The 18,206-nt window shown below is 54.6% G+C and overlaps 2 protein-coding genes across 5 annotated transcripts in view, besides 4 other annotated features; one reads left to right on the top strand and one right to left on the bottom strand.

Moving 5' to 3' along the window:
- Positions 3,667-4,016: an enhancer, noted in NCBI's record as "active region_27235". NCBI's record gives its function as "activates an Ori minimal core promoter by ATAC-STARR-seq in GM12878 lymphoblastoid cells {active_cell/tissue: GM12878}" and the evidence as "EXISTENCE:reporter gene assay evidence [ECO:0000049][PMID:35858748]".
- On the top strand, positions 3,872-10,465 carry BRF2 (BRF2 general transcription factor IIIB subunit). The gene is made up of 4 exons (NM_018310.4): positions 3,872-4,103; positions 5,078-5,137; positions 6,558-6,879; positions 8,520-10,465. The coding sequence occupies exons 1-4, from the start codon at positions 3,950-3,952 to the stop codon at positions 9,241-9,243; spliced, it is 1,260 nt and encodes a 419-aa protein (NP_060780.2). The 5' UTR covers positions 3,872-3,949; the 3' UTR covers positions 9,244-10,465.
- Positions 4,057-4,196: an enhancer, noted in NCBI's record as "active region_27234". NCBI's record gives its function as "activates an Ori minimal core promoter by ATAC-STARR-seq in GM12878 lymphoblastoid cells {active_cell/tissue: GM12878}" and the evidence as "EXISTENCE:reporter gene assay evidence [ECO:0000049][PMID:35858748]".
- Positions 8,837-18,206, bottom strand: part of ADGRA2 (adhesion G protein-coupled receptor A2) — a 48,014-nt gene continuing 38,644 nt past the window's right edge. For 2 of the 4 annotated variants that reach the window (XM_011544481.3, XM_011544482.3), the window contains 7 exons: positions 17,963-18,179; positions 15,794-16,002; positions 14,650-14,777; positions 14,111-14,234; positions 13,398-13,612; positions 12,884-12,973; positions 8,837-12,647 (listed from right to left, as the gene is read on the bottom strand). In XM_011544481.3, coding sequence (XP_011542783.1) covers positions 11,378-12,647; positions 12,884-12,973; positions 13,398-13,612; positions 14,111-14,234; positions 14,650-14,777; positions 15,794-16,002; positions 17,963-18,179 — 2,253 coding nt within the window. In that variant the 3' untranslated portion in view covers positions 8,837-11,377. The remainder of the gene's footprint in view (positions 12,648-12,883; positions 12,974-13,397; positions 13,613-14,110; positions 14,235-14,649; positions 14,778-15,793; positions 16,003-17,962; positions 18,180-18,206) is intronic. The other 2 variants (NM_032777.10, XM_011544483.3) reach the window with 2 other exon arrangements.
- Positions 11,323-12,023: an enhancer, noted in NCBI's record as "H3K27ac-H3K4me1 hESC enhancer chr8:37699228-37699928 (GRCh37/hg19 assembly coordinates)". NCBI's record gives its function as "activates a minimal SCP1, AML or CMV promoter by ChIP-STARR-seq in naive H9 embryonic stem cells {active_cell/tissue: H9 hESC(naive)}" and the evidence as "EXISTENCE:reporter gene assay evidence [ECO:0000049][PMID:30033119]".
- Positions 14,241-14,378: a silencer, noted in NCBI's record as "fragment chr8:37696873-37697010 (GRCh37/hg19 assembly coordinates)". NCBI's record gives its function as "represses an EF-1alpha promoter that drives an FKBP-Casp9 reporter gene in an ReSE screen in K562 erythroleukemia cells {active_cell/tissue: K562}" and the evidence as "EXISTENCE:reporter gene assay evidence [ECO:0000049][PMID:32094911]".

Here is an 18,206-nt window from a genome sequence, read left to right as displayed (position 1 = left end):
CCCAAAATATTTACTATTTGGCCTTTTATAGAAAAGGTATGATGGCCGGGTAAGTCTGATGGCTGGGTGTGGTGGCCCATGCCTGTAAACCCAGCATTTTGGGAGGCGGAGGCAGGAGGATCGCCTGAGCCCAGGAGTCTGAGACCAGCCTGGGAAACATAGTGAGATCCTGTTTCTACAAAAAAAAATTTTTTTAATTAAAAATATTTTTAAAAAATAGAAAAGAATAAGTTTGCCAACCCCTAGGCTAGGATCGCTTTGAGGGGCAGGAATATAACATTATATCATTTACTTGGAATTGCGGAGGATTGGGGCGGGCAAGGAAAATGGAGGCCATATGACTCAATCCTCTCTCAGGACTTTCCATAAGGCCAGATGAGCCTCAGCCTCCCAGCAGAGAGGCGTTCCAGGTCAGGTTGCCCTGGACTACGCAGTGCACCAGGTCTGTGCTGTGACCACCTTCCTGGAGTTACCAGATGCCTTTGTTCCTAGGAGTTCAAGAAATTGAACGTGTGAATCTTTAGCCCAGAGAGAAATGGCTGGGAGGGGCAGACTAAACTATGCAGAGGGGAAGCTGCATATGAGTGAGGAAAGGTGCTTGGCACGGGGATTTGGGAAGCCCTGGCCATGCTCTGCCCTGAGGCTATCTCATCGGGAAGTGCCCACTAAAGAGTGGTGGGAAGGAAGTCCAGTCAGAAAGGCTCCAAATCTGAGGCAACTGCCAGGCCCAGTGCCACCGTGCGAGCTGTACTCAGGGCTCGGTGAAACTGGGTCGGGGTCGCAAAGCATCATCAGCTAAGCTGAGAGGAGCCCAGGGCTGAGGCTGGAAGGCAGGCCTGGAGAGCAGCCCACTCTCAGCAGTCACTTGCTCTAGATGGAAATGGGTCTGCTTCAGAGGAACTGGGTCTATGTGGTGCTCCTTCTTCTTCATCCTTTTTTTTTTTTTGAGTCAGGGTCTCACTCTGTTACCCAGGCTGGAGTGCAGTGGTGCAATCATAGCTCATGGCAACCTTTTAACTCCTGGGCTCAGGTGATCCTCCTGCCTTAGCCTCCCAAGTAGCTGGGACTACAAGTGCACACCACTATACCCTGCTATTTGTTTTGAGAGGGGCTGCGGTCTCACTATGTTGCCCAGGACAGTCTCGAACTCCTGGCCTCAAGCTGTCTTCCCACATCAGACTCCCAAAGTGTTAGGGTTACAGTCATGAGCCACGTGCCTGGCCCATTTGGTGCTTTGGATAGGCCCACCTAGGACAGGAATTCACGGGAGTTGAACTCCTCTTTACTGAATGCCAGCCCTCACTTTAGGAGGTACTCCTGGGGACACAAGGATGAGAAAGCCAGCTTGTTCCCATAGAGACTTCCATTCAAAGAGAAAGTCAAACAACGAACTAGAATGTACACAGCCAATCGAGGGAGGAAGAGGACTGCATTCAGGTGCCAGATCCTCCTCTTCCTCAGTGCCTTCCTCTACTCTCCCCTCTACAAAGAACTCTGGCCTCAATGTCAGCATTATACATCTGGACCACAGCTGGGCTGCTGTTCAATGGCCTCCCCATGACTAGCTTTCTGCTCTGGCCAAGCCCACCCTGGGCACTCGGGGCATCTGTTAAAAAGATAATCACTGCCAGGCATGGTGGCTCATGCCTGTAATCCCAGCACTTTGGGAGGCCGAGGTGGGCAGATCACCTGAGGTCAGAAGTTTGAGACCAGCCTGGCCAACACGGTGAAATCCCATCTCTACTAAAAATACAAAAACTAGCCAGGCATGGTGGTGGGCGCGTGTGGTCCTAGCTACTTGGGAGGCTGAGGCAGAAGAATTGCTTGAACCCGGGAAGTGGAGGCTGCAGTGAGCTGAGACTGTGCCACTGCACTTCAGCCTGGGCGACAGAGTGAGACTCCTCTCAAAATAAATAAATAAATAAAATTAAAAAATAAGATAATCACTACCAGGAATGATAACTCTTAGAAGAACTGGGAGCAGTGGAGAGGGCACCAAGATGATTTCCACGTCTGTCCAGATTTCCTGGAGCAAGGCAAATACATTTCCCAAATAAATGGACTTCTTCCTGAGAAAGTGGAGAACCCCAAACTTACACATCTTAGTAGAGGGCGCCATCTTCTGGCCTGGACCCTGCCCCCTCCCAGCCTGTGTGTGCCCGAGGACCAGGCTCTCCTAGGCTCCCAGTAAGTACATCATGTGTGACTGGGAAAGACAACCAGCTTTCTCCTTCCGTGGCTGGCTGCAGGATCATAAAACTGCTTTTCCACTTTACAATCAATCAGGTTGGGTCAGGCAGGATTTCAAGGCTTCTGTCCTAGGTAGATGGGCTCTGTAAAGTCCCGCTTAAAAAAAAAGTGAAGGTAGGTTCAAGATCTGCACACAACTGGGGATGAGGGGAGTCTGATGCTCTGCTGTGTGATCATGCAAGGAACTGTTCCCAGTGCAAGTTATGTCGCTTTCAGGGACACTTTCTTCATCCAAATAAGAATGTCAACCACACTAAAACTAATGGATGTCTCTGAGTGGTGTGTGTGTGCGGGTGCGCATGTGCAAATGTATCTTAATATTTAACTGTCAGACAGCCAGAAATAAGCTCTCATCCTGTATCTCACGCTAGTGGGGAGGTCTAGAAAAGGCGGGGGGGCTTGGACTGCCGGATCCCACCCACGATTAATGTGCTGAAGCCCCCTTCTGTTATGATACTAAAGTAATTCAAATTGAAGAGAAAGGACCGTTGGGTATTATTGTGTCTCTTGGCCCTCCAATGTGAGCGATCCCCATGGGAATGGACGGGATGTCTCTGAAAAGGAGTAGTGATTCTCACACTCTGAGAAAGCAGTCTCTTAGGGAAGGGATGGTGTCTTTAGGTTTGGATATCACGTGTAAAAACTGGGTGTGGAAAAGAAGGGAGTGACACTTCTTAAAGGTATGTTTTATTTTGTTTGAGATGGAGTCTCGCTCTGCCACCCAGGCTGGAGTGCAGTGGCGCGATCTTGGCTCACTGCGCCTCCTGCGCCTCCTGGGTTCAAGCGATTCTCCTGCCTCAGCCTCCTGAGTAGCTGGGATTAGAGACGTGCACCACCACGCCCAGCTAATTTTTGTGTATTTTTAGTAGAGACGGGATTTCACCATGTTGCCCAGGCTGGTCTCAAACTCCCGAGCTCAGGTGATCCACCTGCCTCGGCCTTCCAAAGTGCTGGGATTACAGGCGTGAGCCACCACGCCCAGATAGCTCAAGGTTTTTTAAAAAACATCTGAATCTGCGTGCTTGCGCCGCTCCAGGTCTCCATCACTCCATATTCTTTCACTCCAAACTCCTTTAGACATTCCTGCCTGGCCTCCAAAAGCGTTTGGGTTTGCATCTCTGGATTTTTTTTTCAACTTCCTCATTTTACAGTTGAGAAAAACAGGAGGTAAAGAGAGGAAGGAATCTGCTTTAGGAAGCAGCTCTGGAAAGCAGAACACAGTTTCCTGCTCCCGCTCTCTCTCCACTACTCTCCCTTTAAAAAATATACTTTCTTCTATGGCCAATTAAACATTCATTACCAACCTGCGATTCCCTTAGGACTTTAAAAGGAGGGTTGTTCAGGGGTGACAACAATCTTCTGTCTGTTATACGTGTCCATGTAGGCAAAAACTTTCCCAAATTCAACCCCAGTCTAGGTCCCAAAAACTAACTACAGAGTGCAGGGAAACCAGACAGCTACAGTTCAGCCCAGGAACCTCCTCTCCTAGCTCACGTTTCTACCCGAGCCCGCGGAGGCACAGACCGGAAGTGGCGCGCAGCCTCCCAGCGGAGGGAACCGCCTATGCCTCCGTCGCGCTGGCCGGAAGACGGGGGTGCAACCCTTTGAAGTGTCCCCTCCTACTTCTTGCTGCCTCACGGTTGCTGTTGCAGACCCAGGAGTCTCTGAAGGCTTCCGCGGCTTTGGGGCCGGTTGTGAGATGCCAGGCAGAGGCCGCTGCCCGGACTGCGGCTCCACGGAGCTGGTGGAAGACTCGCACTATTCGCAGAGCCAGCTGGTGTGCTCCGACTGCGGCTGCGTGGTCACCGAGGGGGTCCTTACCACTACCTTCAGCGACGAGGGCAATCTCCGAGGTACTTGTGGCCCTGGGGACAGCCTGGGGCGGTGGAGGGATTAACATCAGATTCCTTTTGCCTCCCCGCTCCCCCCATACTCCTAACTGTAACGCACACACTTAATTTGAGAGAAAATGACCTAAAGTGAGCGAGGGAGCTGAAGGAGATGGGGGCTGCCATTCATCTGTGTTTTCCCAGCACTTAGTATCGGGCATAGATGGTGCGTGTAATAAATATTGAATAAGTGAGACAGAAACAAAAGTTCCACTCATCTTGCCATGTCTGGTCATTGTGGAAGGATTGCCGATACGATTATAGCAGGTATTATTACCCTGAAATAGTTTTAAGCACAAACTGGCAAAACATCACTTTTCTTTGCTTTCCAAGTTTCTGACCAGTGCAGCCCTCAAAATCTGCAGCCATTGTCTGGGTGGGGTGGCTTACGCCTGTAATCCCAGTGCTTTGGGAGGCAGAGCCGAGAGGATTGCTTGAGCCCAGGATCTCGAGACCAGCCTTGGTAACGTAACGAGACAAGTGCCTAAAAAAATTTTTTTTTAATTAGCCAGGTATGGTGGCATACACCTGTAATCCCAGCTACCCAGGAATCTGAGGTAGGAGGATTGCTTGAGCCTGGAAGTTGAAGGCTGCCGTGAGCTGTGATCGCACCACTGTGCTCCAGCCTGGACTATAGAGGGAAACTCCTTAAACAAACAACAACAAAATCTGCTGCTAGGAAAATTGCCTGTATGGAATGTACTGGAAGGATGACTGGAAATTTGGAACACTTGGAGCTGCTTTAATGCAGTCCTAACCTTTCCCAGTCTCTGTGTATTCGGAACCTCTTGTAGACATAGAAAACCAGATGGGGCCTTTAACTGTGCAGCAGCAGATGCTCAATGATTTGAATTTTGCGTCCTGGTTTTGTGTGGTGGGAGGGCAGGGGTCTGATGAATAAAGGCTAAGCACACTATTTGTTGTTTATTATCTTACAGAGGTAACATATTCCCGAAGCACAGGGGAAAACGAACAAGTTAGTCGCAGCCAGCAACGAGGTGAGAATTGACCTTTTACAACACAGTGGCTTTAAAGAAAACTATCCTAGGCCAGGTGCTGTGGCTCACGCCTGTAATCCCAGCACTTTGGGAGGCCTAGGCAGGTGGATCACCTGAGGTCAGGAGTTCAAGACCAGCCTGGCAAACATAGCGAAACCCCGTCTCTACTAAAAATACAAAAATTAGCTGGGCATGGTGGCATGTACCTGTAGTCCCAGCTACTTGGCAGGCTGAGGCAGGAGAATCGCTTGAACCTGGGAGGTGGAGGTTGCAGTGAGCTGAGATCGCGCCACTGCACTCCAGCCTGGGTGACAGAGTGAGACTCCATCTCAAAAAAATAATAATGAGCCGGGCGCGGTGGCTCATGCCTGTAATCCCAGCACTTTGGGAGGCCGAGGCGGGCGGATCACGAGGTCAGGAGATTGAGACCATCCTGGTTAACACGATGAAACCCCATCTCTACTAAAAATACAAAAAAATTAGCCGGGCGTGATGGTGGGTGCCTGTAGTCCCAGCTACTCGGGAGGCTGAGGCAGGAGAATGGCGTGAACCCGGGAGGCGGAGCTTGCAGTGAGCCGAGATCGCACCACAGCACTCCGGCCTGGGTGACAGAGCGAGACTCTGTCTCAAAAAATAATAATAATAATAATAATAATAATAATAATAAAAGAAAACTATCCTGGTGGCCTAGCCCAGCTTTTCACTTTTCCTATTTTCAGCATTGCTGGTGTGAGGTAGAGTAGAAGAGAATGGTAATTAGGAATTTAAAATGGGGATGGTGGCTCACACCTGTAATCCCAGACTTTGGGAGGCCGAGACGGGCAGATCGCTTGAGGTCAGGAGTTCAAGACCAGCCTGGCCAACATGGTGAAACCCCGTCTCTACTAAAAATACAAAAATTAGCTGGGCCTGGTGGTGCACACCTGTAATCCCAGCTACTCGGGAGGCTGAGGCAGGAGAATCACTTAAACCTGGAAGGAGGAGGTTTCAGTGAGCCAAGATGGCGCCACTGCACTTCAGCCTGGGCAACTGAGCCAGACTCTGTCTCAGAAAATAATAAAATAAATAAAACAAATAGGGATGGTTCTGAGAGAGGCAGCAATTCAGTATAAGGTTTGGGTTTGATCAGACGTATGTTTGAGGTAGCCTCTAAGAGCCTGGATAAAACTTGGGCTTGGCCCTGAATCAAACCAGCCTGCAAAAACTAGTGGGCTGAAATGTGACTTCTTTACACAAATGTTTTTGTGTCTTTAGAATGACTATACCAAGTGTCACTCCTGTCTATGCAGAAAGGTACATAATTTGTGCATCTGATATCTGAGGCAAGTTTAGCAGATCTAAGTAAGTCCTAGCAGAATTTTCTAGGAGTTGCACGATAGCTCCTTTGACCCCTCTAACTCTTGCCGTGGGTTTTTCCTAGGTCTCCGGCGAGTGAGAGACCTTTGTCGAGTTCTGCAGTTGCCACCAACATTTGAGGATACCGCGGTTGCCTACTACCAACAGGCATATCGGCACTCTGGCATCCGAGCGGCCAGGCTGCAAAAGAAGGAGGTGTTGGTTGGGTGCTGCGTCTTAATCACCTGCCGACAGCATAACTGGCCCCTAACAATGGGGGCCATCTGCACGCTGTTGTATGCAGATTTGGATGTGTTTTCTAGCACTTACATGCAGATAGTGAAGCTCCTGGGACTGGATGTGCCATCTCTGTGCTTGGCAGAACTGGTGAAGACCTATTGCAGCAGGTACGTCCCTGGTGGGAGACAGTAGGATGGGATGGGATGGGTCCTTAGACCTGAATCCTTTGACCTTTGGCCATCTCTTTTTTTTTTTCTTGGAGTCTTGCTCTTATCACCCAGGCTGGAGTGCAGTGGCACGATCTCAGCTCACTGCAACCTCCGCCTCCGGGGTTCAAGCTATTCTCCTGCCTCAGCCTCCAGAGTAGCTGGGATTACAGGTGCCTGCCACCATGCCTGGCTAATTTTTTTGTTTTTCTTTGCATTTTTAGTAGAGACAGGGTTTCACCATGTTGACCAGGCTGATCTCGAACTCCTGACCTCAGGTGATCCGCCTGCCTCGGCCTCCCAAAGTTCTGGGATTACAGGCGTGAGCCACCGCACCCGGCCTTGGCCATCTCTTTTTTACCAAAGCCCATGTAAAAGGATGTGGGAGAAAGATCTTTAGTTTAAACTTGTACTCATAAGGTTAATATTGTTTTACATTTTTAGAATGCTATAATTTTCTTTTTTTTGAGACCGAGTCTTGCTGTGTTGCCCAGGCTGGAGAGCAGTGGCATGATTTCGGCTCACGGCAACCTCCACCTCCCGGGTTCAAGTGATTTTTGTGCCTCAGCCTCCCAAGTAGCTGGGACTACAGGTGCATGCCACCATGCCTGGCTAATTTTTTGTTTTTAGTAGAGATGGGGTTTCGCCATGTTGCCCAGGCTGGTCTTGAACTCCTGGACTCAAGCGTTCTACCCACCTCAGCCTCCCAAAGTGCTGGGATTACAAGTGTGAGCCACTGCACCCCGCCAAAGAATGCTATAATTTTCAAACCCCTTTGCCTTCACAGCAACCTAATGACTTGGGGAAAATAGGTCTGAGTCTTGGCACAGGGCTGCTGAGTTGCACCACTCATGTTTTGTGCTCTGTGCATGGCAGTTCCTAGAGTTGTGCTGTGCCATGGGCTTTGTGGCTGAATGCCCAGCTCTGTCTCAGCAGGATCATCTGCAGAGGAAGCTGAAAGTATATTAGTTAATGACATAACTGGGCTTAGAAGCTAAGTCTTTTCTAGTTTTTTTAAAGACAGGGTCTCTTTCACCCAGCCTGGAGTGCAGTGGCACCATCATAGCTCACTGCAGCCTGGAACTCATGGGCTCAAGCGATCTGCCCACCTGATCCTCCCAAAATGCAGGTATTACAGGCGTGAGCACTGCGCCTGGCTCTTTTCTCATTTGAAGTAGCTATGTTCTTTTCTTTTTTCTGATAAATAACGTTGAAAGTAGAGGCTGTTGGTGTCAAATAGCCTTGTATTTGAAGCTTGGTTACTGCCTGGCTGGATGACTATGGGAAAGTTTTTTAACTATACATGCACATAAGATGGTGCACGTGCACGTAGATTAAATGAGAACGTTGTAAAGCACTCAGAATAATGGTGATTGGGAGGCGCCCAATAAATGTTCGTGCTCTCCTCCATCCCTCCACCTTCCCCTAACAAGCGGAAGACGCCCTGTTTTCTCTCACTACCTTTATTAACTTGCTGCCCAGTGAGCTTGAGTATTCCTGAGGGCAGAATAGCTTCCCCATCTTGAGTGGGCTGTCTTTCCTCACTGTGGGAGAGCAGCCCCTATATCATTAAGATCCAACCCTCATTTTGGTTATTTCAGCTTCAAACTGTTCCAAGCTTCACCTTCTGTGCCAGCCAAATACGTGGAAGACAAAGAGAAGATGCTGTCTCGAACAATGCAGTTGGTGGAGCTGGCAAATGAGACGTGGCTGGTGACCGGGAGGCATCCCTTGCCCGTCATCACTGCTGCGACTTTCCTGGCTTGGCAGTCGCTGCAGCCTGCAGATCGGCTTTCATGTTCCCTTGCCCGATTTTGTAAATTGGCAAATGTGGACCTGCCCTACCCGGCGTCCTCCCGCCTGCAGGAGCTGCTGGCTGTGCTGCTGCGGATGGCTGAGCAGCTGGCCTGGTTACGAGTTCTGAGACTTGACAAACGGTCTGTGGTGAAGCACATCGGTGACCTTCTCCAGCACCGCCAGTCACTGGTCCGCTCTGCCTTTCGGGATGGGACAGCAGAAGTGGAGACCCGAGAGAAGGAGCCACCGGGGTGGGGACAGGGGCAAGGAGAAGGGGAGGTGGGAAATAATTCCTTAGGTTTACCCCAGGGGAAGCGGCCGGCCAGTCCTGCCCTTCTCTTGCCACCCTGCATGTTGAAGTCCCCGAAGCGGATCTGCCCTGTACCCCCTGTCTCCACTGTCACTGGAGATGAGAACATTTCTGATAGTGAAATAGAACAGTATTTGCGTACCCCTCAGGAAGTTAGGGACTTTCAGAGAGCCCAGGCTGCTAGACAGGCTGCCACGAGTGTCCCTAACCCTCCCTGATGGATATCCACTGGGAGCACTTCATCCTGTTCTGACAGCTTGATAACATTCCTGTTATAACCAAGGATGGAAGTGTACACCAGTCCGTAGGTATTGCTTTTCTTGTTTGAAGGAACCAAGAGGGGCTCTGCCATTAGTTGGACCCTGGGTCCTGGAGTAAAGTCAGGAGTGCAGGGATGACTATAGGTAGGAGAGATTCCCATCCCTTGGTGTGGGAGAGCAAGTTGCCTATGTCCATGTTCTGTGAGATGGCTTTCCTCATAGATGGATGGGAAAATGTCAGGCTCTTTGCTGCTGGTTTGAATTGGACACACTGCTGCGGCTCCTCCTGCAGGCCTGAGGGGGCTTCCCTCTGCTTGTGGAGTGGTTGGCATTCCCAGCAGTATCAACCCTCAGAGGAGCGGGAACTGGGGAATTCTGGCCCTACGTGCATTCACAGGCAATGATGGGTTTGTGTGTATGGTGTCATGAGATCCTCTACCTCATAACAAAAGGACAGTGGGTAGACTAAGGCAGTAGCTCAAAGGGCTTTGCAAAATTTTAATATATTAAAACAAGAGGCATCTGCTAGAAAACATTCTATTGTATAAAACCCGAGTTCTTAAAAACATGTTTTCTTTGGCACTTTCATTCCCTCCCTCCCCTTTCCCCAGCATATTGCAAAAAGCTCTCCAGTGCTAAGGCATTGGCAGGGTGTGTAAACAGCAGCCAGCATATGTGGAAGAATAATACAAAGCTTTTTTTTTTCTTCTAATATGTCTGTGCAGCAAGCATAAATAACAGGACCCATTCCAAGGAGTGTGTGTGGGTTTTCCCCCTCCCCTGTGTCCTCTGTCACCTTGGTGATGAGGCCAGAGTGATGTGAAGACTGGGAGGGAACCCTAGGTCAGACCTTGGTTTCCTGTTGTTCTTCCCAAGACCCAGGGTTCCCTCGGTTTCCATTTGGTCCTGTAGTGAAATGCTGGTGGTTGGTTTTAGGTTGGGGAAAAGACGGGTGCTGGTGTTTAAAAGGAGTAAAGGCATAGGCCCCTCATGACCTGCAGGGACCCCAGCCACTGCCTCTGGGCTTGGCTTGAGCTCCTGGGAGTCGGGAAGCTGGTTTGACATTTTGTAGGTTTCTCTCTACTGTGGAGCTGGAGATCAAATGATTGGGATGGTTCTTCCTCTGGCCTTACGGAGGCAAGGAAGTGCTCTTCCTTAGTCCCGTGGTGTTGTAAGGCTGAGACTAGGGAGATGGGTCTTGTAACTGAAAAGTAACTGCTTCTCCAAACACCACCTGCAGCTTTCTGGGGCACCATTGTTTACAGGACTAGCTTTAGGGCATGACTAGATTCTGCCCCAGTTCCACCTGCCCTCTCCCTCTACTCCCCTCAGTTCACCCACAGGCACCTGGCAGTCAGCTGTTGAGGTGCAGGGCCTCAGCTTTGTCCCGGTGTGCCACCTCTGAACCCTGCTGTCTGGTTTAAGTACCACTCCTGTGGGAATGGTGGCATTGTTCCTAGTTGTGCCCGGTTCCCACTCCCCTCCCCCAGGACTGGTTGATGTCTAGAGCTGCCTTTCACGTGGCCCCACCCTCCCCTCTTGCATAGTGGATCTGAAAAGCAGCACCTTGTGACTTAACATCACCTGCTTCATGTGCTGGGCTAGCTCTCGTGCCAGCCAAACTCGGGAGGAAAAGGGACCTAGGATCTAGGCAGGGGCTGGGCTGAAATCAGTAGAGGGCAGGGAGGAAAGAACACAGTTCCCACGCTCTCATCTCTGCTTTGCTGGTGAGGCTGATGGCCCCCAGTGAGGCCGCATGGACAGTAGGCGGGGTGGGAGTACTTGGGGAGGGTGCACCTGGGATGTGCTGTGCCCTTTCACACAGACGGAGGCCTTCCCCGTTCCTGGGAGGGCACCGACAGTCAGACTGCCCCGGGCTGGACGGAAATGTATTATGCGTGTTTCTGGGATTGTCTGTCGCTACCCCAGAGGGATGCCCTCTAGGCAAGTGGGGAACATCCGCCTGTGGGCTTCCTCCAGCCATCGGCTCCTCTGCCTCCAACCTGCTGACTACGGAGACACCTTGGAGGGCCCCGAGGAGCGGGGGAACGAGCCGCGTGGCCAGCCCGTCTACCGCGTCGCCCGCCCCACCTTAGACGGTAGTTTCGCTCTTCCAGAGTCCGGTCTTCATGCAGCCGCCGCTGGCTACCTCCGCGCCCATCAGGGTGACGTCGTCGTACTTGCCCCCCTTGGGGGCGCCGTTTAGGCTGGCGGCGTTGAGCGGGTACGAGCGGCGATGGCTCTCCTTCTCCAGCGCGCCGCCGCCCTTGAGACTGTCGCGGCTGGCGCTGCGGCGCTGGCCTGCCCGGCCCGCCTCAGAAAGCGGCGCGGCGCTGGTGTCGCTGCCCTCGGACGGCGTGAGCATGGGCTCGCCTTCCAGCTGCAGGCCGGCGCCCGGGCTGTTGCGGCTGCTGCCCAGGTAGCTGTCGGTGGGGCTGTTGTGCAGACTGCCGCTCTCGCTGGACAGCAGCTCCAGCGCCCCCGCCGCGCCCCCGCGCAGGGCCTTGAGCCGGTTCTTGCCGCAGGCCTCCCCCGCGCGGTGTCCCTTGGCCCGGCTCTTGTGCGCCCGACGCCCGTGGTGCACGTTGTTGGGGTGGCGGTGGGCGAGGTTTCCCCGGGTGCCCGCCGGCTCCGGCTCTCCTTCCCCGCCGGCCGCCGCCCCCGCCTCGCACACCTGACTCTGGGCCAGCTGCAGGTTGGTGAGCTTGCAGGGGCCCAGAGCCAGCGGATGGCCGCTGCTGCCGCTTGGGGAGGACTTGAGGGAGGGGGGGCCCTCCCCGAACACCGGGGAACCGTCCTCTGCGGCGGCGGGCAGGGCCCGGGGCGGGGCATGGGGGGCCGCGGGAGAGGCAGGGGGGCAGCAGGCGCGCCACGAGGCTCTCACGTCCCTCCGCCTGGCACAGTGGTGAGTGAAGACGAAGAGGCCCAGGGCGGAGGCTGCCACCCCGTACAAGCAGCTGCACACCACCCGGGGCAGCCAGCGCTGGGACACTGCCAGAGCCCCGCAGGCCCACATGGCCAAGTACAGGAAGTGCGTGGTCACCAGCGCCCCTAGCTGGACTCCCGGAGAATAGAGGCTGTCACCATCCTCCGGGGGCCCGGGCGTCCCCACTCGCGCGCTCCCAGTAGCAAGAAGGGAACCTGAGTCACTCAGGAGGGGGCCGCTGCCCCTGAGCCTGGTGGAACCCCTCAGCTCCTCCCCTGCCTCCAGGGAGGCCCTGCTGTTGCCCGCCTTGGGGTTCTGTGCCAGAGGACCCCGTAAGCGTAGCCCGGCGCACAGGAAATAGATCCAGGTGATGAGCAGAATCAAAGCCACAGGGATGTAGAAGGCGCCAAGGCTTGGACGCCACACCAGCCAGCAGCTGTAGGAGACACAGAAGCAGTGATGAGGACAGGGGGCATGGCTGGGGTGGGGCTGGGGGCCGGGGTGGTTGGGGAGACAGGATATGGTGAGTACGGAGACAAGGACGGCTTGGTCAGCATGCATGGGCTTGGGTTGGGTTATGGCTGGGTGGACCTGGCAGATGGCCCTGCCAGTGGAGTGGAAGGCATCTGGTGTTAGGTAGGTAGGCTTGGGGCGGGAGGGAGGGGTGCTCACTAGGGGCTGTGGTCCCGGTAGTTGTGGATGTTGACTGCAGCTGTGATGCCACAGATAATGAGTGGAATCCCTCCAGCGATCAAATAGAACCTGGAGGGAATGAGGGATTGGGGGTCCCAGAGATGGGGAAAGGGAAGGGAAGAACTGGGTGCTTAGAGCCCTTTGCTTGATGTTTCTGTCCCATCCTCTTTCCCCTTTAAATTATCAGAATTTTTTGCCAGGGATGCAAGGTCCCTGCAGGGACTACTTGGACTTGGCCATGACTGTTCTAAGGGGCAGAGGCCAGAATTGCTCTCTCACCCTAAACAGTGCAGAAGTCAGGGGTGCCACTCAGGTTCCCAGGATCCTTGCCATGGCATTTGGAGTCATCTCCTTCCCTGGCTTTGTCATGCCCCAGAAGCCCGCAAGATGTCCCCCACTGCATGGTCTTGTGTGACCTGCTGAGTCTAGGGCCTAGCCTCCCCCGTCTTTGGAGAGTGATCTCCCAGGGACCTTAGACTCACCCTTCACCCACCTTGGGAGGTTTCCTACGCCTGCGTTGGAGTCCCTCCCCAATTGCAAAGCTGGAATTGAAAGTATGTACCGGAGCATAGGACTGGGAGTAGGCAGAGCGGGGTCCCCTTCTTGCGGAGGGGGTGCCCTCCAGGTGAGCTCCTTATGGAGCACTCGCGCCTTCACGCCCATCCAGAGCAGCGTGGATAGGGAGGAGTAGTGCAGGGTGATGCCCACCTGCGGGGTCAAGGCACGGAGGCTGGGGACCTGGGGACTACGACTGGACCCTCCCAGAGCTTCAGTCCTGCTGGTGTCCTCCCAGGCTTCCAGCCTCCGGCCCCCAGCTTTTTTACTTTACCCAGCCCACTCCCCATACACTCGCCAAGCTTCCATCCCTACTGCCACCCTCTGCCTTCACCCCAGGGTTCTCTCCCATTGCAGGGCTTCCCATGACCCTGATATGGCTATCTGGCTGATCCCCCACCTCCCCACCACTGCACGTCTCCATTTCCACTTTGAAGCCCATCTCCCATTCTCTCTGATCTGGTTCTTACCACCCCCTACTTTCACTCTCCACGACCCACCATCCCTGCCTTCCAAGGCTGCCACAGAGGAAGCCATGGAGCCACGGCCTATGAGCACCAGCCTTTTTCTTCCAGCGCATCACCCCACTCTATGCCTAGGTGCCAGCACTCATCTCGGAGCACCACCCCCAGAGCCCCTTCTCCTGCTTACCGCCTGGCAGACCATCTGGTAGTTGGTGAGTGTGATGCCCCCCGCAAAGACAGCAGAGGTCATGGCTATGTGGAAGCACAAGTTCAGCAGCATGTGCCAGCCTTTCCGGGACACACGGATGGAGCTGCCCGGAAACAGTCTCGAATTAATGGCCGTCCAACCCAAGGTCAGGCCCATGGGGTCTCAAGGCCACTGGGAGAGCCACGGGGGGCAGGCACATATCTGCGTGTGTGAATGGTTGGGAATGTGACAGAGGCCATAGGGTAGGGAGTCCTTAACCCCTCAAAGTGATTCCAACCCCAATGGGTGAGAGGCTGAGAAAGTCATGTGGACCCACCTGGGGAAAAAACCCCTGCCAAGTCCTCAGTGAGTCCACCCTGCACCCATGCTGGGAGGTTTCCTACACCTGCCTCGGAGTCCCTCCCCCATTGCAAAGCTGGAATTGAAAGTATGTACCGGAGCATAGGACGGGAAGTGGACAGGGTAGGGGCCCCTTCCATGCCTGCCCACCACGCCCTCCCTCCTGCAGGAGCACCCACCTGTGGTTGAGGATGTAGGTGATGATGGTGGCGAAGAGGCAGAGCAGCAGCAAGGCCGTGCAGGGGTATACCACGGGGTGCAGCCCTGCCCCGGCGCCCCCCACCTCCCTGGGAAAGGCGCTCAGCTCCTGGGAAAGGGCAGGAAGGAGGACGTGAGGAATGTGGACACCTCGCCAGGCCCCCAGGCCAGCTTTCCTCTTCCCAGGCCCCGTCAGCCTTGGTCCTGCACTTTGGTGCTTAGTTCATCTGGGCAGGGAGGAAAGCTTCGGGCTGTCCACTCTTAGGAAGCCAGCCCTATGGAGCCAGCTACTGCAGCCCCTTCCCTGCCTCCAGTCCTGCTTTGCTGAGGACTCTTCACACCCTCAGCCTGAAAAACCAGAGATGAGGAGAAAGGGAGCAGGTGCTGCCTGTGACCAGCAGCAGGCCTGCAGGACTGGAGAGTGGCAGTACCACGTGCCACGAGGGAGGGGGTGACCAGGAAGGAGAAGGGTTCCCAGATTATTTTTTTCTTCTTTGTAAGAATCTAGTCTCGGCTGGGCACGGTGACTCATGCCTATAATCCCAGCACTTTGGGAGGCTGAGGCGGGCGGATCATTTGAGGTCAGGAGTTTGAGATCAGCCTGGCCAACATGGCAAAACCCTGTCTCTACTAAAAATACAAAAAATTAGCCGGGCATGGTGGCACACGCCTGTAATCCCAGCTACTTGGGAGGCTGACTCAGGAGAATCACTTGGACCTAGGAGGCGGAGGTTGCAGTGAGCCGAGATCATGCCACTGCACTCCAGCCTGGTGACAAAGCCAGACTCCGTCTAAAAAAAAAAAAAAAAAAAAATCTGGTCTCAGAAAGTGCAGGATGTGAAGGCCAGGCTAGGGAGTTCCAGATCCATCGGGAGTTCCAGATCCATCAGATCCAACTATCTGGATATAGGCATGGAGGCCGGACCTCCCTGTCTCCTGAAAGATGGAGAGGTAGGAGAGGCCAAAGGGCCATTTCCCCACATCCCACCACTCATGGGGCCCAATTAGGGCTGCAGTCCTTTCTGTATTTCTCCATGGTCCCAAATGGTCAGAGTACACCCACCCCCATTTTCCACCCAGCCCGTGTCCCTGCCCCCCCGACTTGTCACCCCTCCTCACACCCACCATGAGCACGGCCACATTGCCCAAGTGCTGGCAGTGCAGGGCGCTGACATTGGGCTGGCTGGAGCGGAGCTGGCAGCCCTCCGAGGTCCAGCCCCCAGCCTCCCCGGGCCCCTCCTGGCTCCACCAAGCGGCCACAGGTTCGGCTCCCTCAGCCCAGTGCCGCAGCGAAACGGCCACTGGCTCTGTCAGGTTTCCCACGCCACAGCCACCTACAGCGGGAGAGGGACGTCCACACAGACACACACAGGGTGTCAGGGAGGTGGGCTCAGCCGGGACTCAGCAGCAGCAGCAGTGACAGGGTGTGTACTAGGCACCTGCCAGGCAGGGCACAGTGCTGGGCTGGGGGCATGCGGTGAGATGCCAAGGACAGCCTCAGTCTAATGGGGGACCCTGGAGGGGGTGGGTGCGGATGATGGTGGAAAATGTGAGCCCTCTGTGGTGGCCCACCCTGAGTGCTGGATGAGCAGTGATGTCATGCTCCATGGTGAGGACTCAGGCTGGCGGGGGCTCAGGGACAAGAACACAGAAATGCAGATGGAGGGAACAGAAGCCAGGCGAAGGGAGGAGGGAGGAGGGAGGCGGGCGGGATGGAGAGAGGACTAGGAGGAGGCGTTCCCAGTGGGAGAGGGGCTCCCGGAGCAGGCCCTGGGCTCCACAGACCCCTCACCCACCCGCCTCAACCCACACACTCCCACAGCCCACGCGGTTGCGGACACAGGGCTTTCACCTTCCTCAGGCCACCTTACTTGTCCTTTAAGTCTTAGTGGTTTTCGGGAAAGGCCTCGCTGGCCTCCAGCTAGGTTGGGTGGTCCCTCATCCCTGTGCCCTCCAAAACACTTCACTGCTTCTCACTTACAACGAGCTGCTCTTCACTGCTGCTCACTTACAACGAGCTGCACTTACAACGACTTGTCCACTGCCTGTCCTCTCTGCTGAAGGGTGTGTTCCTCAAGGACACAGCCGTAACTGTCTGTGCACAGGTGTGTCCCAGCTCAGGCACAGTCTGGCACATACCAGATACTCAGTGAGTGTCCCTGGCCAGAATGCAAGACCTGACAGCAAGAGTCTGTGCTAGGAACAGGATGGAACCCACGGTGGGGTGGCAGTGCCTTCTGGCTGGGCAAAGGGGGTACAGCCACATCGCTAGGACCCTAGAGGGCTCATGGAGGGAGGCAGACGTCCTGATGATGGGAAACAACCCAAGACTTTGAAGGGGCTCTCTGACGTGCAAAGTGCAGTTTGCAGAAGGTGAATCTGGTGACGGCATGAGGGATGGACTGAAGGTGGAGGTGTGGGGGCCAGAGATGGGCTGGTGTCAGCGTGGATGGTGGGAGTAACAGTGGAATCACTGGCAGAAAGAAGGCAGGTGTGGGGTCGCTGGTCCCGGGGGAGAGATGGAACGACAAAAGGGGGACTGCAGGTGATCCATCTGCTTTCTGGGTGCCAGGCCCCCAGGTGGGTGGCGAGTCAGACACTCGGTGTCTCCCACCCACCACACCTCTGCTCATGTTGTTATTCCTCTGCCCTGGTCTCCGCCCTTCCTTGGTGTCTCTGAAAGTCCTGATCATCCCTCAAGGCCCATCTGTGTCAGTCCCACCTCCGCCATGACAGCTGGAGCCATGTTGCCTTTTCAGGATGCTTCTCACCTGGGCTGCCTGTGCAGCAGCTGCCTGGAACCTCTCCTGTGGCTGCCCTGGGAGGTTACTTCACCCTCTACTGCTTAGGTAGCCTCTGGGAGCAGGGACTATGGCCTAGATGTTTTTATTCCTTCCAGCACCAGTGACAGTGCTGTTTCTAGCAGGCACCTATTCAGCATTACTTGTCTGCATTGGGCCTGTGGGGTGTGTGTGTGTGTGTGTGTGTGTGTGTGTGTGTGTGTGTGTGTGTGTGTGTGTGTGTGTTGGAGGGGGCTATGCTCATAGCCCTCTTGAAATTGAACAAATCTGGGATATAGAAGGCAATGTCTTCCTGAGGCTTTTCTCCTCCAGACCCTTTCTTTATGGGGTATCTCTACCCTCTGCCCTGTTGGGAAAAGGTGAGAGACCCAACATCCTGTGTCAGTTCCACTACGGCACTGGGGGGCTGTGGGCCAGGGAAGGGCAGGATAAAGGGGAACAGGGCGGACACACGAGAGGCACCCTGGGCGGGGCGGGGAATTCAGTCCCTTACTGGTTCCTGCGAAGATGACGGGGGTGGCCACGCCACGCCTCTTGCCAGGCCCAGCAGCTCCAGGGCGGGAGGTGTTGCTGTGGCTGTGGAAGAGGCGGCCATTTCGGAAGACGAGCAGTTGCAGGGTGCAGTCTGGGGGCACCGGGGGAGCCAGGGCAGCCGGAAGGGATGAGAATAGACTCGGGGGCAGCTGGATGGAGGCCAGGGCCACGCTGTTCTGGGGGGACATAGGAGCTCCTCAGAG

This window comes from Homo sapiens, chromosome 8, assembly GCF_000001405.40.
Source record: "Homo sapiens chromosome 8, GRCh38.p14 Primary Assembly".
Taxonomy (NCBI): Eukaryota; Metazoa; Chordata; class Mammalia; order Primates; family Hominidae; genus Homo; species Homo sapiens.
This window is presented reverse-complemented; position numbering and strand designations above follow the sequence as displayed.

Bases quoted from the DNA above. Each gene is read 5' to 3' on its own strand.
- BRF2 (NM_018310.4), top strand. From the start codon at position 3,950: ATGCCAGGCAGAGGCCGCTGCCCGGACTGCGGCTCCACGGAGCTGGTG. The intron at 4,104-5,077 runs GTACTTGTGGCC...ATTATCTTACAG, and splicing joins CGACGAGGGCAATCTCCGAG to AGGTAACATATTCCCGAAGC. The intron at 6,880-8,519 runs GTACGTCCCTGG...TGGTTATTTCAG, and splicing joins GTGAAGACCTATTGCAGCAG to CTTCAAACTGTTCCAAGCTT.